Raw genomic sequence first — 25,981 nt, forward strand, 5'->3', positions numbered from 1 at the left:
GGGCTGAGGAAAGGGGAAAAGAATGAAGTTGTTGTTTAATGTGTGCAGAATTTCAGATGTGCAAGATGAAAAAGTTCTGGAGATCTGTTGCACAGCAGAGTGAATATACATAATGCTACTGAACTATACACTTAAAAATGGTTAAGATGATCAGTTTTTTGTGTTTTTTTAACCACAATAAAAATTTTCAGACCAGGTGCCGTGGCTCAATCCTAGCACTTTGGGAGACCAAAGTGGGAGGGTTGTTTGAACCCAAAAATTGAGACCAGCATAGATTCCCATCGCTACCAAAAAAAAAAAAAAAAAAAAAAAAAAGCTGGCCATGGTGGCACATGCCTGTAGTCCTAGCTACTTGGGAGGCTGAGTTTGAGACAGGAGGATTGCTTGAATCTGGCAGTTTGAGGCTGCAGTGAGCCATGATTGTAGCCGGGGCAACAGAGCGAGACCTTGTCTCCAAAAACAAAAAACAGTAACCAAAAAATACGGGATAATTGGGCACTTTGTTAGGATCCCTCCTAGAGCTTTAGGAGGGGCCCATGAAAGTGAGGGGGCCTGCAGGTTTAAATTAGCTTCAGAGCAAAGCAAATCTGTTTCAACCATTCTGGTCCTATCTATCTGTTGAAACCCAACTGATCTAAGCCGTAGTGCCTCCATTTTCAAACTGGTCTCTCTTAGAGCATAACCATACAGTTAATAATTTATCTTACACTTTTTTGTTGATTGCCTCATGCATATGTCTTATCTCTGAACTGTAGGATAAGTGTTGTCTTCTTTTACAGCCTAAAAGTACCTAGGTTCATAGTATTCATCCATTCATTCCTTTGCTTATTTGTTCATTCATTCCACAATATTAATTGAATTTCTCTTCTGTGCTAGACCCAGAAATAAAAGCTACATACTCTGCCCTCTTAAGGGTCCATTGTTTAGAGGGGGAAACGCCAATTAAGTGGTTAATCATAACAGGCTATGAAGGCGCTGCTTTAGAGGTATGTACGAGGTGCCTTGGAACACAGATGGGGGTACTGGACTCAGCCTGGAGTGTCAAGAAAGGCTTCCTCCAAACGCAGATTTAACTTTTGAGGTTCAATTCTAAGGAATTTGAGAAAAACTGTTCCCTAAAAGGCCTGCTAGCATTCTAACTTAAATAGTATAAATGTTAACATTCTAATTTGTAACTGAATCCAGAGATTGTTGGATTTAGGTTGCATTGGAGATCTAACATAGTTTTGGCTATTATTTCTATCTTCTGACTTTGTTGGGAGTAAGAATAGCAGAAATGCTTAGCTCTCCCATTGACATTTTTTCTTGTCAGCCTACCTCCTTGCCATGATTTGGTAGTACCGAAGTTGGTAAAACTTGGAAAAGCCTTTGCCTTTCCCAGGTTCTCTCCGTGGCAAACTCCTACTCATTCTTTGAGACTCAGTTCAAACTCTCACCTCCTCCCCTGTGAAATCTTTTCTTATTCTCCCAGCAGTTACCCTTTTTATTCCCATAGCACAGCCATGTTATATCTCTATTTATACTTTCATTTTGATACTTTGCTATATTTTAATTATGGATTTACATGCCTGTCTTTCCTTTGAGGTGTTATTAATCGTTTTTGTATGCCCCTGGGCCTAGTCCTAGCATAGTACCTACTACATAGTAGGTGCTGTGCAACAAATAATGGTTGTTGACTGCATGAATGAATGGTGAGTCCAGAGTTTGGAATCTTCTTTTTTTTTTTTTTTTTTTTGAGACGGAGTCTTGCTCTGTTGCCAGGCTGGAGTGCAGTGGCATGATCTCGGGTTACTGCAATCTCTGCCTCCCGGGTTCAAGCTATTCTCCTCCCTCAGCCTCCCGAGTAGCTGGGATCACAGGTGCGCACCACCACAACCAACTAATTTTTGTATTTTTAGTAGAGACGGGGTTTCACCATGTTGACCAGGATGGTATCAATCTTCTGACCTCATGATCCACCCACCTCGGCCTTCCAAAGTGCTGGGATCACAGGTGTGAGTCACCACACCTGGTCTGGAGTCCTATTTTTGAATGAATTGATTGGCCTTACGATATTTCATTGTCACAAGATTACATACTTAACAAGTACCAATTATCTTACAATAGAATCACTTCTACCTTCAAAATATACTGCGTACTTACATACTTTTCTCCACCTCCACTGCCCAGCTGTCTCTAGCCACCCTCTCTCACTTAGATGGCCACAGTGGCTTTCCGACTTTTCTTCCTGCTTCTCTTGATCCTTGGTAGTGTATTCTCCATACAGAAACCAGGAAGAGCTTCTAGAAATACAAATCTGATTGTATCTCTACCAGAGTGGTTTTAAGACTTCCAAGGGTCCTTGGCATACTCACGTTAGGAGGTTTTGAAGGCTTCATCCCGTGTTTATAGGAAAAATTAAAAGGTACTCACATATCATATTAAATACGTAGACATATCCCATATTAAATATGTGGATTTATCTATTTATTTTTGCTGTCACATTTTAAAAGAATTTTTCATAATTCTCCTTCTGAAATTCTTTGGCTACAAGTAACTAATTCATAAGTATCTCAGACTTCTTAACAGGTAACATATTTAGGGGCTGGGCATGGTGACTTAAGCCTATAATCGTGGCACTTTGGGAGTCTGAGGCAGGAAGATTGCTTGAGCCCGGGAGTTGGAGGTCAGTCTGAGCAACATGGTGAAACCCCATCTATAAAAAATTGAAAAAGTAGCTGTGCATGGTGGCACACACCTCTGGTCTCAGCTACTTGGGAGGCTGAGGCAGGAGAATCACTTGAGCCTGAAAGGTTGAGGCTGTGGTGAGCCATGTTCGTGTTGCTGCATTCTAGTCTGGGCAACAGGGCGAAACCCTATCTCAAGGGGGAAAAAAATATATATATATAATATATATTTTATATATATTATATATATTATATATAGTTTATATATATATTATGTATATAGTTTATATATATATTATATATATAGTTTATATATATATTATATATATAGTTTATATATATATTATATATATAGTTTATATATATATTATATATATAGTTTATATATATATTATATATATAGTTTATATATATATTATATATATAGTTTATATATATATTATATATATAGTTTATATATATATTATATATATAGTTTATATATATTATATATATAGTTTATATATATATTATATATAGTTTATATATATCCTATACATACATATATGAACATACATACATATATGTATATAAAATGTTCATCACATTTGAAAACAATTCTCACTTTGCAAAAATTCCTATACATACATATATAAACATACATATATAGGTGTATATATCTATATATGTACATATATGTGTGTATATATACATATATGTACATATATGTGTGTATATATACATATATGTACATATATGTGTGTGTATATACATATATGTACATATATGTGTGTATATATACATATATGTACATATATGTGTGTATACATATATACCTATATATGTGCATATATGTGTGTATATATACACCCATATATGTACATATAGGTGTATATATACACACATATACCTGTATATGTACATATATGTGTATATATATACACATATACCTATATATGACATATACACCTATATAGGTGTATATATATATACACATACATGTATCTATATATGTATGTTTATATATATGTATGTATAGGAATTTTTGCAAGGTGAGAATTGTTTTCAAATGTGATGAACATTTTATAAATGCTAATTTTTTTTTTTTTTTTTTTTTTTGAGACAGAGTCTCGCTCTGTCACCCAGGCTGGAGTGCAGTGGCGCAATCTCGGCTCACTGCAACCTCCGCTTCCCGGATTCAAGCGATTCTCCTGCCTCAGCCTCCCGAGTAGCTGAGACTGTAGGTGCATGCTACCACACCCGGCTAATTTTTTGTATTCTTAGTAGAGATGGGGTTTCACTGTGTTAGCCAGCATAGTCTCGATCTCCTGACCTTGTGATCCGCCTGCCTCGGCCTCCCAAAGTGCTGGGATTACAGGCGTGAGCCACCGCACCCGGCCATAAATGCTAAATTTAACAATGAATGGGACTGCTGAGTGGTTATAAAGGACATTTAAGCATTTATTAATTTTTGTGGTCAAAATTTTTTGTTTGTATTTTGAACTTGTATTTTTTTTTAGATCCCAAACATTTTTCTAAGTCTCTGAAAAGCTTATGGACCCTAGGCATTCAGTGGAAAGCAACTAATGGATAAAATGGCGCTGTTTTCTTTTCCTGCTGAAAACTCTTTTGTGACTTTCCACTATTCCAAAAGTGAAATATTTACTGTGGACTGAAGAACTTAGTATGATCTAGCTCTTCCTACCTCTTGAGATTCATTTCATGCCTCTATCCCCTGCTCCCAGGTCCTAGCCTCCTGATCATTTCTCTTGTTTATTGACCACTCAAACATTTGCTTTTCTTTCTCTTTTCTTTTTTTTGATGGAGTACCTCTCTGTTGCCCAGGCTGGAGTGCAGTAGCACCATTTCAGCTCACTGCAGCCTCCGCCTCCTGGGTTCAGGTGATTCTCGCACCTCAGCCTTCCAAGTAGCTGGGATTACAGGCACACCACCATGCCCAGCTAATTTTTTTTTAATTTTTATTTTTTTGGTATTTTTAGTAGAGATGGGGGTTTCACCATGTTGGCCAGGCTGGCCTCGAACTCCTGACCTCAAGAGATCCGCCTGCCTTAGCCTCCCAAAGTTCTGGGATTACAGGCATGAGCCACCATGCCCGGCCTAAACATCTGCTTTTCAACTCAGCTTAAATGTTGCTCCTGAGAAAAGCCTTCCCTGTGCACCTTATCTAAAGTGAGCCTCTCTCAGTTATTCTATATCCTGTCAAACTGCTTATTCCCTTCTCAGTGAGTTCCTTCTCCTATGAGGATGTCAGCTCCATATAGACGAGAACCTTCTGCTTCACTGCTGCATCCCTAGCACTTAGCACAGAGTCTGATAGGGAAAGTACTTAGTACATATTTATTGAACAAATGAAGATTAATGTTAGTAGCTAGTTTAACTGTCCCTGTATCGTTGTAATTTAACCATCCTTGTATTGTTGGTGTAGTGTTGTTGGTGTAAAGCCTATGTGGTCATAATGAATTATTCTCTTAAAACTACTCAGTTCTGTCTGATAATATTTTACTTAGTATTTTTGCATCTGTCTTCACAAGTGAACATTAGTTTAGTTTTATTTTTTGTACCATCTTAGTCTAAATTCATATCAAGAATATGTTATCCTCATGGAAGAAAGTAGGAAGCTTTTCCTTTTATCCTTACACCTCCTGGAACAGTAAGGATAACGTGGAAATTATCTGTTCAATAAGAGTTAGATAGCATTCACCTAGAAAATTGGGCTTGCTGTTGTCTTAGTGGCTCATTCTTTGAAGATCTTAGAGATTTCTGCTCTGGGTTGTTGTTCCCCTAATTTTTCTTGAGTTGATTTTGGTAACTTCTGTTTTCTTTGACTATCATCCATCTTATTTAATCTTCAAGTTTATTTATGTAAAGTTACATATAATTCTAGCATGAGTTAAAAGATTTTCTCTAAATCTGCAGTTATGATATCCTCTTTCTCAGCCCTAATGTTTGTGACTTCTCTCTTTCAATTGATCAGATTTTTGACAGAATTATCTACATTTATTTAGTGTTTTAAAACAAAATATAGTTTTTGGTTTTGTTTTTTGGTTTTTTTTTGAGATGGAGTCTCGCTCTACTGGTGATCTCCGCTCACTGCAACCTCCACCTCGCGGATTCAAGCAATTCTCCTGCCTCAGGTTCCCGAGTAGCTGGGACTACAGGTGCGTGCCACCACGCCCGGCTAATTTTTGTATTTGTAGTAGAGACGGGGTTTCACCATGTTGACCAGGATGGTCTTGATCACTTGACCTCGTGATCCACCCTCGGCCTCCCAAAGTACTGGAATTACAGGTGTGAGCCATCACGCCTGGCCTAGTTTTTGTTTTTATTAATTCAGTTTACTCTTTTTTTTTTTTTTTGGCTGTTACTTTATATCTGTGCCAAAAACAACAAAACAGATATATATATAATCTGTCACCAAGGCTGGAGTACAGTGGCGTGATCTCAGCTCAGCCTCCGGAGTAGCTAGGACCACAGGCATACCCCACCAAGCCTGGCTGACTTTTTTTATTTTTTTGTAGAGGCGAGATCTCACTATGTTTGTTGCCCAGTCTCAAACTCTTGGGCTCAAGTAAACCTCTAACTTTGGCCTCCCAAAGTGCTGGGATTACAGGCATGAGTCAACACCATGGCCAGCCTTGCTTTTATATTTATTCATTTTTGGGGTTTATTAACTCTTTTTCTAGATTTTTGAACATATATATATATATATATATTTTTTTTTTTTTTTTTTTTTTTTTTTTGAGACAGAATCTCATTCTGTTGTCCAGGCTGGGGTGCAGTGGCATGATCTTAGCTCACTGCAACCACCATCTCCCAGGTTCAAGTAATTGTCCTGCCTTAGCCTCCCAAGTAGCTGGGATTACCAGCAGGTACCACCATGCCCAGCTAAATTTTGTATTTTGAGTTGGGTTTTCACCATGTTGGCCAGGCTGGTCTTGAACTCCTGACCTCAGGTGATCTGCCTGGCTCAGTCTCCCAGAGTGCTGTGATTACAGGCGTGAGCCACCACGCCCAGCCTTTTTCTAGATTTTTGAGTTAAATACTCAGTTCAGTTATTTTTCAATCTTGTTTTCTTCTTTTTCTTTTTCTTTTTTTTTTTAGAGACAGAGTTTTGCTCTATTGCCCCAGCTGGAGGGTAGTGGCACGACCTTGCTCACTGCAGCTCACTGCAACCTGCAGCCTCCACCTTCTGGCTTCAAGTGATTCTTGAGCCTCAGCCTGCTGAGTAGTTGGGACTACAGGCGTGTGCCACCATGCCCAGCTAATTTTTGTTATTTTTAGTAGAAACGGGATTTTGCCATGTTGGCCAAGCTGGTCTCGAACTCCTGGCCTCAAGTGATCCACCCACCTCGGCGTCCCAAAGTGCTGGGATTACAGGTATAAGCCACCATGCCTGGCCAATCATGTTTTCTGATAAAAATATTTTGAGGAATGGTATGTAACCTCCAAAGGTGCCAGCTTTGAAAGATAACAGTCATTTGAATGTTCTTGTTTTTAGTTTTAGAAAATAATTTTTATGGCTGAGGCCGGCAGATCACGAGGTGATCACGAGGTGATTTAGTGAAACCCCGTCTCTACTACAAATACAAAAAAATTAGCCGAGCGTGGTGGCAGGCACCTATAGTCCCAGCTATTCGGGAGGCTGAGGCAGGAGAATGGCGTGAACCCGGGAGGCGGAGCTTGCAGTAAGCCGAGATAGCACCACTGCACTCTAGCCTGGGCGACAAAGCGAGACTCCATCTCAAAAAAAAAAAAAAAAATTTATTTCTTTGTGTCCTTACCTTACAATAATATAATTTTAAAATATTGTCTAATTGTTAATATGAAAAAAGTATAATAAATCTATCACAGAATCTATTATGTCTGGAAACACAAGGGAGAAATAATGTATTTATTGCACTTGTTTGTTTTAGATAAACGATTAGACTAATTGTATTAAATTTAGAGGTATTGCATAGAAAAGATGATGTGGAGGTTAAGGAAAAAATATTCAGTGGCCGGGCGCAGTGCCTCATGCCTGTAATCTCAGCACTTTGGGAGGCTGACGTGGGCAGATCACGAGGTCAGGAGTTCGAGACCAGCCTGGCCAACATGGTGAAACCCTGTCTCTATTAAAAATACAAAAATTATCTGGGCATGGTGGCATGTGTCTGTAATCCCAGCTACTCAGGAGGCTGAGACAGGAGAATCGCTTGAACCCAGGAGGTGGAGGTTCCTGTGAGCCGATACCATGCCACTGCACTCCAGCCTGGGTGACAGAGCAAGACTCTGTCTCAAAATATATATATATATGTTTTCAGCATATTATTTGAAATTAGAACCAATATTTTATTTAAAATATGTTTGTTCTGTTTCCAAACTTTTCATGCAGTTTGCTATTTAACACTTACAAGGCAACACATATAAATATTTGTATACAATAATATTCTACACTGGGGAATGGAGACTTAGCAAAGTTCAGTTTCATAAAGAAAGCATGTCCATCACAAATTAAAACAAGGTGGATGTTCAGTCTCCACACATTTTTACAAATCGAGCCAGCTACAAGCAAGTAGGCTTTCAGTAACTCATCTGGAAGGTATTGGAAGGATAAAAATAGACTAAATAATCAGAATTTCCATTCTAGTAGTTTCCTGCTTTTTCCTGCATCTCAATTGTCAGTGCAGGGCCTGGCTATTTCACTCAGTGCTAGGCAAAGACAGTGGAAGCTTGTTAAGCCACAGCTATTCAGGCTACCAGATTGTCCAGGCATTGGCCTTTGCCTGCCATGAAACAGCTCCTTTCCTGTCGTCATATCTGAGTGGAAAGAGCAAAGGCGGGAGACTGTATAAAGACCCAGAAGCCAGGATGACAACAAGTGTTGTGGGATTTTACAAGCATTCGTAGGTTCCTTTTCAAGGAAAGCCGGGTTTCTAGAATCCATCAGTTGTCTGCTGGCTGGCATGGCAGCCTAGTTTATGGGAGAAGCACACTAGGGAATCCTCCCTTTTCTGGCTTATAGAGATAGGTGGAGTCGATAGTCACAGGGCATTCTCATGCACTTTTTTTTTTTTTTTTTTTGAGATGGAGTTTCACTCTTGCTGCCCAGTCTGGAGTGCAATGGCGCGATCTCGGCTCACCACAACCTCCGCCTCCCGGGTTCAAGCGATTCTCCTGCTAAGCTCAGCCTCCCTAGTAGCTGGGATTACAGGCATGTGCCACCACGCTGGCTAATTTTGTATTTTTAGTAGAGACGGGGTTTCTCCATGCTGGTCAGGCTGGTCTCGAACTCCCGACCTCAGGTGATCTGCCTGCCTCGGCCTCCCAAAGTGCTGGGATTACAGGTATGAGCCACCGCACCCGGCCTCATGCGCTTTTTACCATTTTAGTTACTTTCTTTCCTGAAGCCGTCCTTAAAACATAGATGAATGCGAGTTTCTGGGAACTATGTGACCCTCATTCCCCTACATTTTTTATATTCAGGTGGCAGATTTCCTCCTACTCAGCCCAGCCCTTCTGAATAGGGTCCAAGTCATTGATTTATTCATTTATTTACCTCCTATGTGGTGTTTGGTGTGGAGCCTCACAGAGCAGTGAAGACGTGGTGTTTTTCCTTATACAGTTTACAGTCTCCTGGGGAAGACTAATGTTAAGCACATTCTTTCATAAATTGCAATTATGACCATTGCTCTGAAGAAGTAGTAAAGGATATTATGGGAGTGTTAACAGGAGGGCCTGGTCTGGACTGCGAGGGTCAAGAAGCCTTCCCAGGGTGGAGGCGAACTTTTGAGATGGCCAGGAAAAGATGAACAGAACTACTCAAAGAAGCCAAGTGCAGAGTTTCAGAGGTGAAAGAAACCAAAGATACCATCTAGGGAAGCCCAATCTCCGCCGGCTACCAATGAGAAAACGGAGGCCAGGCAGGGTGGGAGGATGGGTAAGGGACTTACTTACTTGCTGTTAGCAGTGAAGTTACACGGCCTGTGAGCCGCGGGGGCTGGAGATGCAAACCGAGCTTGGGTTTCTTAAGTGGGTAGGAGTGGAGATGTATATGCGAAGGAGAAGGGATTAGGAGTGGTGGAAACCAGGTAGGTTTTAATTTAGTGCCTAGGCTCCCTCAGCTGCAGAGCTACCTCCTGCGGTGGGGGAGGGGATTAAAGATGACTCAGACCTGCCCTAGCCCAGAGAAACTCCGTTTGCAGTGCTGAAGCATAGTTTTTATTTGGGTTTGGGGGAGGAGGTACTGAACACACATACAGGCAAAACAATAAGTGTAGAGTTCAGAATTGGGAAACCAGTCCCTCTTCTGCAGCTGTTCAGCTGTGTGATTTGGGATAAGTCACTTAACCTTTCTGAATTGCAGTTCAGTTTATACTTTTGTGCGTTTCTTTCAGTCTTTTTCTATACATTTTAGGAGTTTCTTAGAGATCAGTCGTGCCCTGTATTTCACCTCATTCTTTCAAAGCTAAAGCCTCTTGTTTGGTAGAGCTGTGTTTCAGCCCCTTTTACAGAGCAGTTTGCCAGCCTGTGCTTGCCCAAACATCTAGAGAATAACTAGCAAGCGAGCCAGGAGAAGATCCAGGAGCTGTAAGAATCGTTAGCAACTGAGCATATTTCTATAAACCAATAAAGGTTTTTCTGTTTTGTTCATCTGTTACCCTTATGCTGTTGCCACTTTCACATGCAGTGTCTGTAGGCGGAGAGTATGAGATAACAGCATTTCACAAATGAAAGTGAGTGGAAAAGGGCTGCTTCCCCTTTAAGGCAGTCTCAGCTCCAGCTCCCTCCCCTTTCCTGATTGACAAACCTACCCGAAGTCACATGATCTGCCTCTATTTGAAGGTCACAAAAAGCTGCTTCCTTTAGAGACAGAGAGGGAGAGAGAGAGCAAGAGGGAGAGTGTGTGAGAGAGAGTTAGTTCAAGCCAAAATGGCCGACAGAGTCTCTGCTGGTTTCTGAATATTTAAAATACAAAAAAACAGATAGACAAAAAGAATTCATTTTTTGGACCTTTTTTCATTTCCATTTCTACCTTGTATGCCTCAATTTGCTGGATTTAAGCACTGCTGCACTTTATGAGGTTGGTAAATATTTTCAATTTTTTTTAACCAATTGATTTATATGGATCTTGTCTAACCGTTTTCACTGGTGGTGTTGCAAATCGACATTTGTCTAGCATGGAGACTGGCTTCAGACATTTCGTGGATCTGTGTAAATCAGACCCGTGATGTACTTTGGTTCGGCATTTTAGAAATGGAAAAGACGTGGTAAAATATTTAGATTTTGAAGTGATTTAATTGCACTTTTAATGTATATGCAGATTTTCATCATCGTTTCTATCTTGCAATAAATGAAGCTGCGAGTAATTGGAAATTTGCTATTTAGAAAGAGGTTTTTAAAAAACACAGACCTCCCCCTCCCCCCTTAAATCTGCTGCAAAAATTTGCATAAATATAAATGGGTTTGCATTCTTTCGGCTGCTAAGGCCGACAAAGGATCTGGGAGGGCAAGCCCTAGAACGGGAAAGCCTTTTTCTATCTTTTTATTTTTTAAACTGGGCCCTCCTTCCTAGAGAGATGTAAAACCTAAAGTAAGACCTAATACATTTTAAACATCAGGTTGGGGGCGGGTGAACACCAGGAGGTTTGGGGTTTGTAGATTCCCCTGCTTGAAAACCTCCCAAGCAATATGTGGCTCACCCCTCTCCTTTCTGCGCGCGCTCATTTGCACTGGGTCTCTGTGTGTGTTCTCAAATGTGCAGCCAGATGCGCTTTTATTTTGATCCTGGATTCAACCAAAGGGTAGGACTATGTTGTAAACATGGTGTTTTAAAGATATGAACAGCTATTCACCGCGATTAGAAATTATTTCTTTATCAGTTCTCCCTGTGTATTAGCCTTCTTCATTCCTCACGAAATAAAATTTTTGTTTAATTTTACACAGATGCAAAACTGAGTTTTTCAGCATAAATTCATCGTGTGAGTGTGTGGTTGCCTGTTTCGGCCATGTATCCACTGCGAAGTGGTCATTTAGGGTCACATGTATAAGTAGCAGTCTATGTGATTGTTAGTAACCCCTGAAGCTGTGCAGTGCCTGAAGTTAAATTCCATTACTCCTAATGCAGGATTCTGGAAGCCTGAGAGCAGGGAGGAAAGAAAGCTGAAAACTTGCTTTCTCAGAGCCTCCTCCCCCTATCATTGTGAGAGTGTGATGTAATGCTTCTCGGTCTGGTGGGCTGAAAGGATTGTAGTTTGTGATGTGGCGGGTAAATTGCCCCCACCCCTGGGTAAATTACTCCACCCCCCTGAGCACATCCCTGGCTCTGAGAGGCCTTGTTTTCTTTTCTCTTTTTTTCCTAATTTGTATCCTCCTGATTTATGCTGTGGCATATTGGCATGAGAAAGAGACTGTTCTTCTAAATCTGTTACAAAGTATAGTTTAGAAAAGGCATTTAAAATATGCAAATGGGTTGAATTGTCATATCCCCATCATTAAATATGTAGACGTGGATTAAAGCTAATTAAGCATAAATGGAATAATTTTGATCAGAAGGGAGCAGTGTTTTTTGTTGTTTCCTTTTTAATTAATCTAATTATGAGATGCTTACTGGGCCTGAAAGTGTTAAAAAAGATAAAGTGGAAAAAATGCTGGACCATTTTGAAAATTTGACAGTCTGGAAGAGGGTGTGTGGTGCTTTCAAAAGCTTTATTCACTCTTAAAATGGATTGGCCTCTTGTGCTGAAAATGGCCTGTTTCTTTGGGCCAATTGTGTGTAGATGAAGGGACTTTCACGCTAATTTAACAAAAAGACTTTCCATTTGAATACATAAGATAATTAAAGCCCTCTGTCTCTAACAAGCAAGGATTTTATTATTTTAAAAAATTAATGTTGTTATGTTAGTAATGGTAATAAATACAGAAGTGACTGTTTAGATTCACTGTAAATTTTTTGATGATATAAATTCAGCTTTTGTGTAAGAAGGATTGGAAACATTACATTAAAGAGGTAGTCTGGAACAAAGTTGTCTCTAAATTTTTTTACGGCTTGAATTTAAAGGGAAAAGATAGAGAAATTACCTTAGTGATAGAGAATGTTGCATTGTGGTAGACCTAAAGGAAAATCAGCTCTGATTTTTGTTGCTGTTTTTCTGAAAATGAAAGCACTTTTTTGGGGCTTTGCTTGTTATATGATTCATTTTACACCTATTTCCTAAAGTTGGTCTTACTGAAGAGGAGATAAAACCTAGGCTTTCCATGTTTTGCCATTATCTTGTTTTTGTGGCTGTGTAAACATATGAATGGCAGGTTAATTCAGTTTGCAGAGAGGAGGAACCAGAGCAGGGTACCTGCTGTCTTAGGCAGAACAGAGAATGATACAATGAATGCCATTTGATTCTTTGAAATGTTTTTTATAAATATTCTTTTCCCCTGGATAATTAAAAGGTGAGATAAATAAGACCTGGCTTCACGTATGGGAAGCATTATGGCTCTGGTGAGTTGATAGCTCGACTGCCATTTTGGATCTCAGATCCTGCAGAGCCAATCCTTCTGGCTCACCAACACGATGGTCATCCAGAAGGAAATGAAAATGAGTAATCAATTAAGTGTGCAGATGGATAGTATTTAATTTGTGCCTTCTGTTGAAGTTTTCTTTCTGTGAGTACTGTGAATTGAAGCTTTAAAAACTTTAAAGATGTGGCCGATGTTATGAAGAGCAATATCCAGGGGTGCTGGAACTTGCACGTTGTAGTTTTACTTTTTAAAAATGAGATGGCATATGCAGAGGAAGTTTCTTATTGGAGAAAGTGAATATAATCCCTATTAACTGCCACCCCCCCCACCAATCTATATTTCCTAATGCTGGATCAACTAGTGATAATATCACAACATTACTCTGTCTCAGAAAAAAATGTCACAGGTTCATGACTGAAAGATCACAAAAATTGGTAGCGTTCATCAGAAGTGGTATCTCAATTTTAAAGTGCTTTTCAGTCATTCCATCTGGTTCCCAGAAAGGAAGCTTTGGCATCTTTGATATATGGTGCAAACTCAGCTCTGTTCTTCAGCTGTGAATGGCCATTTGTTATTCTGTGTGGCCACTCGGATGGTCCTTTAAAAATAAACTTCCGAACATTGAAGCAGAGACTTCTAAGGCTTCTCCAGCTCTTCAGCTCTACAAGAGACACTAGAAGAGTGTTATGCGATGATGAGACCTTCAGGTTCTGCAGAGCAGGCTGAGCAGCTCTGGCTATTGAGGACCACCCTGAGGAATAAGGGTGGTCCTCACCCTACCCAGCTGCTCCTCACCCTACCCAGCTGCTCCATGACTGAAAAGTTTGGAAAGATTTTAATTTTTATAACTCAGATCATATAATCATTGATCATCTGCAGTTTAAGCTGGACACAGCCCTGAGGCAATGCAGATAGATGAATGTACTTTGTCCCTTTCCTCAAGGAGTACCAGGTCAGCATTATTGGTAAACAGATCGTCACAACTTGGCAGTTTATGTGCAATATTCAGAGCAAGTTCCTGGTTACAGAAGTATCTGAGTATCTGCATTAGGAGGGTCCTTGTTTTAAAATTTCTTAAAGAAGCCAAATAGGCCAGTCGTGGTGGCTCACGCCTGTGATCACTTTGGGAGTCCCAGGCAGGCTGATTGCTTGAGCTCAGGAGTTTGAGACCAGCCTGGGCAACATGGCAAAACCCTGTCCCTACAAGAAATTTTAAACAAAATTAGCTGGGCATGGTGGCTCACGCCTGTCATCTCAACTACTCAGGAGGCTGAGAGGTGAAAGGATAGTTTGAGCCAGTGATGTTGACACTGCAGTTAGCCAAGATCGTGCCACTGCATTCCAGCCTAGGAAACAGCTAGACCCTGTCTCGAGAGAAAAAAAAAAAAGCCAGCCGGGCGTGGTGGCTCACGCCTGTAATCCCAGCACTTTGGGAGGTCGAGGTGAGTGGATACGAGGTCAGGAGTTCGAGACCAGCCTGGACAATATGGTGAACCCTTGTCTCTACTAAAAATACAAAAAAACTAGCCAAGGGTGGTGGCGCCTGCCTGTAATCCCAGCTACTCGGGAGGCTGAGGCAGGAGAATCGTTTGAACCCAGGAGTCGGAGGTTGCAGTGAGCCGAGATTGTGCCACTGCACTCCATCCTGGGCAGTACAGGGAGACTCCGTCTCAAAAAAAAAAGAAAAGAAAAGAAAAAAAAGCCAAATAATTACCCCATTTAATAATTTTTAGTTATTTAGATATTAGACTTCTTTAAGTGGAACTTGTTTCTGTCTGGTGGCTGGGGAGAGGGACAGCATATGCTAATTGTTTCTCTGTACAGTATTGTTCGTGGATTTACTCTAATCCCACTTTCCTCACCTGCTTGTGATTAAGACGGGTGTCAGGGGTAGGGTGGAGTGAATTGAAGCCACTTGGCCAGAAAAGGGATTTATTTAACTCATGGCAGTGACATCTTAACATTGTTTTCTTCTTTCCGTCATATATTTGTTCAGCAGTAATTTATTAAGCACTGATGTAGGTGCTGGGGCATCTAAGAATTAATTTGGTTGGCCCATTGCCTTCAATAGTTTGGTTCATGTGGAAATACTTGCCATCTGGTGACTAACTATATAACTTACTGCTTTAGGTTATGACTGAGATAACTCCTTAGTTATCTTTTCTGATAATCAGGGAATGAGTGGTAATTTTTTGCTTCTGGTAGTTTTGGAGACTTCATTGAAGGTTTGACTTGATAGTCACTTTATTAAACATTGTCTTTAGCTCTGTGCACTATCTCTTCAAAATTATCTTTTGCATTACCTCTGAGAACTTTGCAACCTGGAATTGCCTTCCTAGTTATTTTATCACATCCTTCAATTTTACTTTTTTAACACTCCTAAATTGTATCACCATCTGAAATTATTTGTGTATGGTACGTCTCCACAATACTATCCGGTTTCCTGAAAGCAGAGACCTTATCTGTTTTCCTCACTGTTGTATCCCCAACATCTAGAACGGCTTGGCAGGAGTGGATGTTGAGTGAAAATGTGTGAGTATAAGGTCACCAGGACTCACTGTGTGACGATGGTAGGCTCGTTTCCTCACCAGCAAAATGGGGATAATATATTGTTGCGACGCATAAAGGAAATGCTATATGTGAGGGCTGGGCACCTAGTCTTGTTGCTTAGTAAGTGTTTCCTTCCCCTTTGCTGTATCTCCCTTTGTTGAATGAACCAGAAAGGCTTTTATGGCCCCGCAGAATGGCTCTGTTCTTTCTCATGGCTACCAGGATCATGAAGCCTGTACAGTGATTGCACAGAGCTTTAGCCTGCACAAGGACAGGAGCAGCACGGAGCCTTTTCTCTTTATTCAAGTCCCTACATTCCTGTGGTCTGATGTCGTCTCTTCATAACTCTCCAGTTTCCTTCAGGCTGTGCCTCTGTGTTGTATCCACGTTTACTTGGCTGTTTTTCATACATTCTGTGCTTTGCATCAGAAGGTTCTCAGCAATTTCAAATGAATTGGTCTTAGAGTTTACAAGGCAAAGGAGAACATTGAATACAGCGTTTTCTCCCTCATTGTGATTATTCTGGGCCCACACATGTAAATTCTGTTTATTTGACTAAATTATTACTAGGTTGTTTTTTTTTTTTTAATATGAGATGGAGTCACTCTGTCGCCCGGGCTGGAGTGCAGTGGCGTGATCTTTGCTCACTGCAACCTCCGCCTCCTGGGTTCAAGCGATGCTTTTGCGTCAGCCTCCCGAGTAGCTGGGATTACAGGCGCCTGCCACTACACCCAGCTAATTTTTTGTATATTTTAGTAGATACAGTGTTTCGGCATGTTGGCCAGGCTGATCTCGAACTCCTGACCTTGTGATTCACCTGCCTCGGCCTCCCAAAGTTCTGGGATTACAGGCATGAGCCACCGTGCACAACAGCCAGTTTTGACTCAATGGGCAAAATGAAAATTTAGGTCCATTGCCCACTTTATACAATGCTGTTGAATTAATATGGGTGACAGAAAAATGGCTTTCATTCATTGACGTTGGAATTTGTTTTTTAAAAAACTTAGAAAATGATCTGTTTACTCATTCATTCTGCAAATAATTACTGAGTGCTTTTCACATGCCAGGTGTTGATAAGTACAAGTACAAGCCTAGCAGTAGTGTGAAGATTTTCTCCAGACACGACTGCTGAAGTTAGAGAATAGATGCAAGGGGCTGGCTGGTGCTCAGGGTGTTGGGGGGTTAAAAAGGGTGGACACCTAGAGAGATAACAGCTTCTGCAAAGACCACGGGGCACTAGTGGACATTGGCATATTTGGGGAACAGCATAGAGAGTACTTTGACATGGTTGGAGTGTCGTGTGCTTAAGGGAAGAAATAATCTGAGAAATGAGAGGTAAGCTGAAAAACTAAGCCTTGACCAGATGCAGAAGAGTGTATAAGCCACGTTTGAAAGTCTTTTTCCTGAGAACAGTTGAAGGGTTTTAAGTGGGAAAGTCACTTGTTCAGATTGGATTTTTGAAAGACGATTCTGGTGTGTTGTGGAAACTGGCTGGGACATTGCACGTCAGACCAGATGATACTGTAGTAATCTCAGGTCATAGTGGCCTGAACTGACAACAGAGTTGGGGACAAATGAATGAGTTCCAGAGGCATTTAGGAAGATTTTGGAGGAGTTGGTCATTGGGTATGAGAAGATGGGGTTGGAGAAATGTAAAATAACACCTGTGTCTCTGCCTGGCTTCTTGTGGGAATGGTGCCACCATTCGTTGAGTTAGGGTGCATTTAGATGAGGCACAGGTGTGGGGTTGAGATTATGAGTTCAGTTTTGGAATCATTGAATCCTGAGATATCCAGGTGAAAGGCTGGAGTAATTACAGGTCCGGTCTGGAGATAAAGACTTAAGAGTTACCAGTAGTTCCAAATTTACCAAATTTTTTTTTGTTCTTTTTGAGACGGAGTCTTGCTCGCCAGGCTGGAGTGCAGTGGCACAATCTTGGCTCACTGAAACCTCTGCCTCCCGGGTTCAAGCGATTCTCCTGTCTCAGCCTCCCGAGTAGCTGGGATTACAGGCATGTGCCACCACGGCCAGCTAATTTTTGTATTTTTAGTAGAGACGAGGTTTCACCATGTTGGCCAAAATGGTCTTGTTCTCTTTACCTTGTGATCCACCCACCTCGGCCTCCCAAAGTGCTGGGATTACAGGTGTGAGCCACCACACCTGGCAAGATTTTCCTTTTTAAGTTGATTTCTTTGGTAAGGTGTCCAAAGATGGCATACCTGTACTATGCAGTGCAAGGTGCTGTTCAGTGCTATTAAGGGAATACTGTACTATTTTATAAAGATAAGGCCATATACTCTCATTACCATAATGATTATTAGAAGTACCAAAGGAGTTTGAGGGAGGAGAGACACTGATTTTAACTGTGTTGATCAGAGAAAGCTTTGTTGAGGACTTTGTATTTGAGTGGAACCCTACAGATTGGGCAGAATGGTGGTGAGTAGACTCATGGCAGGCTGTATTAGCTAGAGTAAGGTGGAGGAGGACTAGGTGTGTCCAGGGAGGATTGAGGGGAGGTTGCACACGTGTACAGGAGCTGAGTGCCTGCTGAGTAGTTTGTATTGCTATGGTAGACGGTGGGGACCTGTTGAAAATTTGATGGCAGTGCAGTGAGAATTTTGATATGGCAGTGGTGCAGAGGAGGACTTGGTGGGGGGGCACTGATTAAAGGAAGAATTGAGAGACAGGCAGGCCAATTAGGGGATAAAAGGACTGTTATGAAAGGTCCTGCTATAAGGCTATGGCCATGCAACTAGGGACCAGGTTTTTAAGGTGAATGATGGGAATCTTCAACCAAAAGGAAGATGACGCATTCCAGGTCAGACTTACTGAATTGGAGAATTTGGTGGGACTTGGCAATGGAACTGGTTAGCAGGCAGCTGGCAGTGTGGATCTGCAGCTTGAGAAAGAGGTCAGAAGTGGAGATAAAGACTTGGAAGGCTTCCACGTGGAAGTGATAGTCGAAGGTAAGGGAGAGGATGAGGTCACCATGGGACTGTAAAGAATAGAAAAAAGAACTGAGAATGAGACCTTGGGGACGGGAAGAGAAAGAGGACCTGGGAAAGGATAAAAAGAACGGTGGCTCTGAAGGACAGTCATTCCTCATCACAGAAGATGAGGGAAGAACTGTTCGATCACAGGTGTGGGCAGCAGTTCAAATGCTGCACAGGAAGAAAAGTATTTGGTTATGGCAACATTCCCGAACCTGGTGTTGGGAGGTGTTCCAGTGTTGGTATGGGAATCATTCGATGGCGCCAGCACCGCCCAGTAGGAACAGAATGCAAGCCACGTGTGTTATTTTAAATTTTCCAGGAGTCACATTAAAAAAGTAAACAGTCCAGGCACGGTGGCTCACACCTGTAATCCCAGCACTTTGGGAGGCCGAGGTGAGCGGATCACAAGGTCAGGAGATCGAGACCATCCTGGCCAACATGGTGAAACCCCGTCTCTACTAAAAATACAAAAATTAGCCGGGCGTGGTGGCGGATGCCTGTAATCCCAACTACTTGGGAGGCTGATGCAGGAGAATTGCTTGAACCTGGGAGGCTGAGGTTGCAGTGAGCCGAGATCACGCCACTGAACTCCAGCCTGGGTGACAGAACAAGACTCCATCTCAAAAAAAAAAAAAAGTTAAAAATAAAAAGAAATAAGTGAAATTAATTTCAGTAATATCGACTTTATTTATGTAAAATATTGTTAATTCAACATATTATTGATTTTAAAATGTTAACGCAACATTTTACGTTTTTTTTGTACCAAGACTTTGAAACCTGGTGTGTATCTTAGGCTTACAACACATTTCAGTTCAAACATAAAATTTTCATTGGAAATACTTGATTTGCTTTTAGATTTCATAAAACTTACTACTTTTTCATGGAAAAGTAGGTTCACATACCCACGTTTTTCCAAACATAAAAAAGTTTTCCAGCAATGGAAATGTCAGTTTTTAAATTTAAATTAATTAAAATACAGTTAAAAATTCAGTTTGAGTGGCACTAGTCTCATTGCAAGTGCACAGTAGCCACGTGCGGCTACTCTGTTGGACAGCACAGGGAGGGTTATGCGAAGTAAAATAGGCTACTGTACAGCGGATGTGCACTCTGAAAATACCCAAAATGGTTTAGCACCATCGCAAAGCATTTCACAGGATTAGTGTTTCTTAGAATACATGTTGGCTTATCCTAGTGGAATTTTTAGAATTTAGAAGGGTCAAATCTCTAATTTTGAATGTGAGGAGACAAACTTTTTATGAAAATACACAGATTCCAAAATTTGAAATAGTGTTTGGGCTACAGTCAGCAGAATGGTACATTGGTAGAAGTTCCTAAACATACCGGTTTGTGCCATGTTTCTGAAATGCTTGGTGCAGAGGCTTACACTTAAAAACAGATCCAGCAGGAGGGGTGGGAGCGTTCCTGTTACTGTTTGTGAGTTTCTTTTGCACTCCCTGGAGTCAGTGAGGTGGTGGCTTCAGGTGGGGGGATGAAGTTAGGATTGCTTTAAGTCAGTGTCCCAGCGTCCCTGTGTGGTGGAGGTGTGAGGTGGGAGAGGGTGCCACCAGGCTAATTATGTTGTGCTTGTCTCTCACTTTTCTTATCTCACTTTTCTCCGTTTAGCCCCGTTTAGTCATTGTGTACTTTTTGCCGACCTGGGCCAATTGAACGCATATTTACTAAATATGGGTGGGTTTTTTCAGTTTATAAAAAGCAGGTTCAAAGATTTTCATTTAATTATCTCATTGATTGAGACTGCTTTGCAGCTGTTAACTAGACCATCTAAGTGATAACCAGTAAAGATAGAAAGGATCTTGAATCTGGCCGGGTACGGTGGCTCACGCCTGTAGTCCCAGCACTTTGGGAGGCTGAGGCGGGTGGATCACCTGAGGTCAGGAGTTTGAGACCAGCCTGGCCAACATGGTGAAACCTCGTCTCTACTAAAAATACAAAAAATTAGCTGGGCGCCTGTAATCCCAGCCACTTGGGAGACTGAGGTAAGAGAATCGCTTGAACCTGGGAGGCGGAGGTTGCAGTGAGCTGAGATCACACCATTGCACTCCAGCCTGGGCGACAGAGCAACACTGTGTCTCAAAAAAAAATAAAACAAAATAAAGAAATGATCTTGAATCCTGCTTGGAATCAAACCTTGTTCACACTGGAGAGAGTAAGTGCTGGTTTTTGGTTACTACATGATTTCATTTCAGTTGACATAGAGAAGCTTATTTTTCTGTGAAGTGCCCTGTCAGAGTTTGGGATATCAGCTATTCAGTCTTGTTTTTTGTTTGTTTAATCAGTATGACTTCTTACATTTTTGTTTTTCTTTAGAAGTGCATTTTGGTTATTCATTTATGCTTTTATAAAAACCAGACTGTATAGTGGTGAGCAGAAATAATGCCCTTTAATGCCTTAGTAAGGTCAGAGACCTAGCAGGTGATCGCGTGTGCTCCCCTCCAGGATCCCAGGGCAGCGAAGCTTGTGATCAGTTGCTGCCTCTTCTTGCCGTTGTTTCCTTTACCCCTCTGCTTACCGAAAATAATTGCTGTTCTTTTAATGCCAAGAAGTTCCCATTTATAAACTGAAGTTAGTTAGATAATTAGGTAGCTTAGAACAGTGGCTTTTAAACTTTTTGATTGGCTCTACTATAAAAAATTCAATTTGTATTGAAACCCATAGACATGTGAATGTTTATGCTGAAACAGAAGTATTTACTTTCTGATAATAAGTGTATGTAGTCAGATACAGTCTTTTAAGTCCACTTTGTATGGTACAGAACAAATCCCTAACAAGCTAATTCCAACCCACTAAATTGATTTAATGATCACTGAGGGTTGTCTTACCATGGTTTCAAAACATTTAGAAGGCACTACTCATGAGTTGCCCCATTTCAGCATATGATCCCCACTTTTGCTGGTCTAAGAATCATTTATCAGTCCCACTCAGTTATCATATCAACCAGATTTGTTAGTGACTTTAAAAAAACGTTAATTTGTTACTTCAGCAAGTAGAAGATGGATATTTTTGATGCCCAGAGTGTTGTCTTCCCCGTCCAGGGTATCTCATTCTGATCAAACCGAATTGGCCATCCATACTGAGAAGTGGCTATTGATATATTTATATTGAGAAATGAATATGTGTTTATACTTTCTCCCCCAGATATTAGAGAAACTGAAGTGGGAAACACCTTTGTAGCTACCAGATTATGTATTCTCTTTTGGAAAAGCCTCATGGAAAACACTGCTGTGCTGTCTTCCAGCTTCCAGGTTTCACGAAGGCACATCTCTCAACTAGTAATATGTTCTGTTTTCAGAACACACTTCAGTACATTTGATTAGTTCAGCATTTCCCGCTGTTTGTTGGGGTACTAATAGATTTGTCTGCCCAAAAAAAAAAAAAAAAAGAGGTTTCTTTCCTAATTAAAGTGAATTAAACTGGCCTTTCCTTGCTACAGGATTTCTTAACGTCTTTAGGGTGGGAATGTGCATTGGAAATCTTAGTGATGTGTATATAAAATCTTCAAAGTGCCAGGTTTTTGTTTTTTAGTGTCCACTTGGGGAAATGCTTGATTAGCTTTCCATTTCAATTATCCCTTTCTAAAACTGGGTCTTAAGCAAACTGGAATTGAGTGTTTCCCAGGTCTCTTCAAACACTTTAATATGTTGGTTCCCAGACTTCGGTTTCAGGGAACTGTAAGGTTGAAAAAGACACATTGGGGTCCATCATGAGTTGAAATTTGCCAAGTAAAGGCATTTTTGAAACTTACCATTTGTTACCATCATTTCAAAGAAAAAAAAATTTTAACAAAAAAGTAGAATGAACAGTCTCAGAATAAGAGCCGTCTCATTAAATTGAATAAAGCTTTATGAAAATGATTACATTGTTTCCTTTTTCCCACAGATCATCACAGGTGCTAAAGTTTGGCATTTGGGAACCACATCCTAATTATAGACCATCTCTTAGTATGTATTACAATAAGTATGTGCTGGCTGGTTTTATTAGCCTCACTCATAGGAATAAACCTTATTTCAAGTCTGGGACTACCTTCCTTCATTCTTATTTATTGACTACCAAGATAATGATTTCATGACTCATCCTTTTAAAAAATTACTTTGTTCCATCTGAATATGCTGTGAGCAGATAACCATTCTACATTCGTGTCTGAAAAAAGAAAAACCAAGCCCACTCCATTAGGTGCTGAGCAGTTGTAGCATCTAGAATAGTACTCAAAACTTACAGCAAAATTTATCTGATTCAGTCTTGGAGGTTATGTAAAATGGCAAGTAGGTTATAAAACTTACATATCTGTGTTACTTGTATACATTTTAACCTGTTGGCTCTTCATGAGTTATGAAAATGGCCATGGCAGATTTTCTGTCATATTATGTACATTTTAATTTTTATGTCCATCATCTGCTGTTGCATTTTAAATGACAAAGACCTTAAATCTGGCAACCCCACATCAAATGTCCCTTCTGTCCCTGTCTCAGGGAGAGAAGGTGCTTCTTGGATGCACTTTACTCCTGTAATCAGGAGGGCCATGGCCAGCAGCTCTCTGGCCTGCCCTGGTGTGATAATGCTATCAGCTGGTTGTGGGAGTGGCTGCCCCAGCAAGGCCTGCTCCTTCTCCTTTTCGAAGAGTGCTGGGGCAGAGAGGGGAGGAGAGGAGAGGTTATGGTTAGCTGTGTCGGGTGTTTGGAAGCATTGGCATGCTGGGTAGACTTGAATTGGAGCTTGGTATAATCTAGGTCCTGTGTGATTGGAAAGATGTGTTTACTGCATCAGTATTTATTGAACAAATCTAATGTGTCGAGCACTGTATAGTGCTGGAAACAAGAAGGTAAGAAGACCTAGTTTTTATCTTTGGAACTCAACCAGTAATGCAAACAGACAGACACACAATGAGGCTGCCCATAATAAAGACGACGCTTCGGAATCCTTGAGGATAGAGAAGAGGAAGGGAATGGGAAAGTCTCCCCCAAGGAGGAAACATCTGAGCTGGGTCTTAATGGGCAGATGGGAGTCGCTTGGTGTGGTGGAGTGGTTTAGAACTGAGGTTCTGAAGTCAGGACAGCTGTGTGGTCAGATCAGCCCAGTGTTGAGCAGCTGTGCCATCTTGTGTGCCCCAGTTTTCTCATTGGTAAAGGGATAGTAATAGTACCCACCTTGAAGAGTGATCGTGAAGATTCAGTGAGAACTTGTTTCAGGTGTTTAACATGTTGCTTGGGTCAGTGTTAGCTACTGTTTTCATTATTGTTATTACTGGAATTGGATGTTTCCCAGGTCTCTTCCCTGCTCTGTTTCAGGCAGAAGAAATAGAATAAACAAGGACAAAGAGTTAGGGAGTGAGTGGGAGAGTGGGAAATGGTGAGATATTAGTGGAGCACAAGGGTTAACTCTTTGGAGGAGAGCAGAAGGGTAGCTTGGAGTTGTAGTTTGATTGGTTTTGTATTCTAAGAAATTTGTTTTATTTTTATTTTTTTAAACAAGACAGGTTCTCACTCTGTCATCCAGGCTGGAGTGCAATAGTGTGATCATAGCTCACTGTGACCTTGAACTCCTGGGCTCAAGTGATCCTCCTGCCTCAGCCTCCTGAGTAGCTAAGACTGCAAATGTGTGCCATCATGGCCAGCTTATTTATTTATTTAATTATTTAGAGACAGAGTCTCATTCTGTTGCCCAGGCTGGAGTGCAGTGGCACGATCTCAGCTCACTGCAACCTCCACCTCCTGGGTTCAAGCAATTCTTTTGCCTCAGCCTCCCCAGTAGCTGGGATTACAGGCATGCACCACCATGCCCAGCTAATTTTTGTATTTTTAGTAGAGACGGGGTTTCGCCATGTTGGCCAGGCTGGTCTCAAACTCCTGACCTCAAGTGATCCACCTGCCTTACAGACGTGAGCCACCGCGCCCAGCCTATTTTTATTTTTTAGAGATAGGATCTTGCTTTTTTGCCTAGCCTGCTCCCGAACTCCTGACCTCAAGTGATTTTCCCACCTTGCCCTCCCAAAGTGCTGAGATAAGATCCAGCTGTGATTATAGGTGTGAGCAACTATGCCTGGCCCAGAAATTTGGATTTTATCCCGTAGAAAGCAGTTTTAAAAACTAAACTTGCCTCCACTGATTTTCATGTTAAGGATCCGGTGGAAGGGACAGGCAGTCAAAGCAAGAGGGACAAGTGGAGAACATAAATTAAGGTAGTGACCATAAAGATGGAAAGACCAGGCTGGGTGTGGTGGTTCATGCCTGTAATCCCAGCACTTTGGGAGGCTAAGGCGGGTGGATCACCTGAGGTCGGGAGTTGGAGACAGCCTAGCCAACGTGGTGAAACCCCGTCTCTACTAAAAATACAAAAATTAGCCAAGCATGGTAGTGCACACCTGTAGTCCCAGCTACTTTGGAGTCTGAGGCATGAGAATTGCTTGAATCCAGGAGACGGAGGCTGCAGTGAGCCGAGATCGAGCCACTGCATTCCTGCATAGGCAACTGAGCGAGACTCTGCCTCAAAAAAAAAAAGTAAAGACCAGATTTTCGAGCTCCTTCCGAAGTGGGATGAGTCCATCAGCTATGGTGAGAAAGAGGGAGGGATCCTAGATCAGCCCCAGGCTGGGGGAAGGGATGATGCCACAAATTGGGGTAGGCGGTCAGTGGGTAGAGCAGGGGTTTGGGCTATGTGGTGGGATGAACAGCAGGGGTAGAAGGCAATGTGTTTGGCTTTGGACATGTTTAGATTTGCCAGACATTTAATATAACTTGGCAGGCAGAAATAAGGGTCTGGAGCTCAAGGCAGAAGCTTGGAAGCCATTTACTTACATGCAGAGGTGGTCCTTTAGGCCATGGGAGTGACAGTGCTCCCTTAGGAGTTGCTCAGAGGAGCAGGGTGAGAACAGGAAAAAGGATGGTGCAAGAGAAACCCGAAAAGGAAGGATTTTAGGGCCGGCGCCCCAGCGGTCAGCTTGGGAAGCCCTGAATGAGGGCAGTTAGATTTGGCCTTGAGGAGCACTGGCATCCATCAGGCTGCAGTGAGTCCCAGCAGCCGAGCGCATTGTTCATCCTGCTTCTTGTTGTCGCGTGGCAAAGTCTCCTCAAGGGTTTTTGGGTCTCTCCCTGGCAATACATTGAGCAGTTCTCCAGGAGGAACTCACAGTGTTCATCAGCGTCACCCCAGGACTTGCACAGCTTCTGACAGAGGGTGCTCAGTGACCATTTGTTGAATGAATAAGTGAATCAAAGATGACTTGAAACAACTCAGCAAATAATTAGGAGTGCCTCATATGCTCCAGGA

The 25,981-nt window shown here is 41.5% G+C and overlaps 1 protein-coding gene across 3 annotated transcripts in view, besides 1 other annotated feature; it reads left to right on the forward strand.

The window, feature by feature from the left end:
* Window positions 1-25,981, forward strand: part of TNRC6B (trinucleotide repeat containing adaptor 6B) — a 290,975-nt gene that overhangs the window by 122,582 nt on the left and 142,412 nt on the right. For 2 of the 3 annotated variants that reach the window (NM_001162501.2, NM_015088.3), the window contains exon 1: window positions 10,510-10,725. The exons of the other annotated variant lie outside the window; for it this stretch is intronic. In NM_001162501.2, the coding sequence (NP_001155973.1) occupies window positions 10,721-10,725 (5 nt within the window). In that variant the 5' untranslated portion in view covers window positions 10,510-10,720. Of the gene's footprint in view, window positions 1-10,509; window positions 10,726-25,981 lie in introns of those variants that run through there. 3 annotated transcript variants of the gene reach the window in all.
* Window positions 10,349-10,398: an enhancer, noted in NCBI's record as "active region_19082". NCBI's record gives its function as "activates an Ori minimal core promoter by ATAC-STARR-seq in GM12878 lymphoblastoid cells {active_cell/tissue: GM12878}" and the evidence as "EXISTENCE:reporter gene assay evidence [ECO:0000049][PMID:35858748]".

This window comes from Homo sapiens, chromosome 22, assembly GCF_000001405.40.
Source record: "Homo sapiens chromosome 22, GRCh38.p14 Primary Assembly".
NCBI classification, from domain to species: domain Eukaryota; kingdom Metazoa; phylum Chordata; class Mammalia; order Primates; family Hominidae; genus Homo; species Homo sapiens.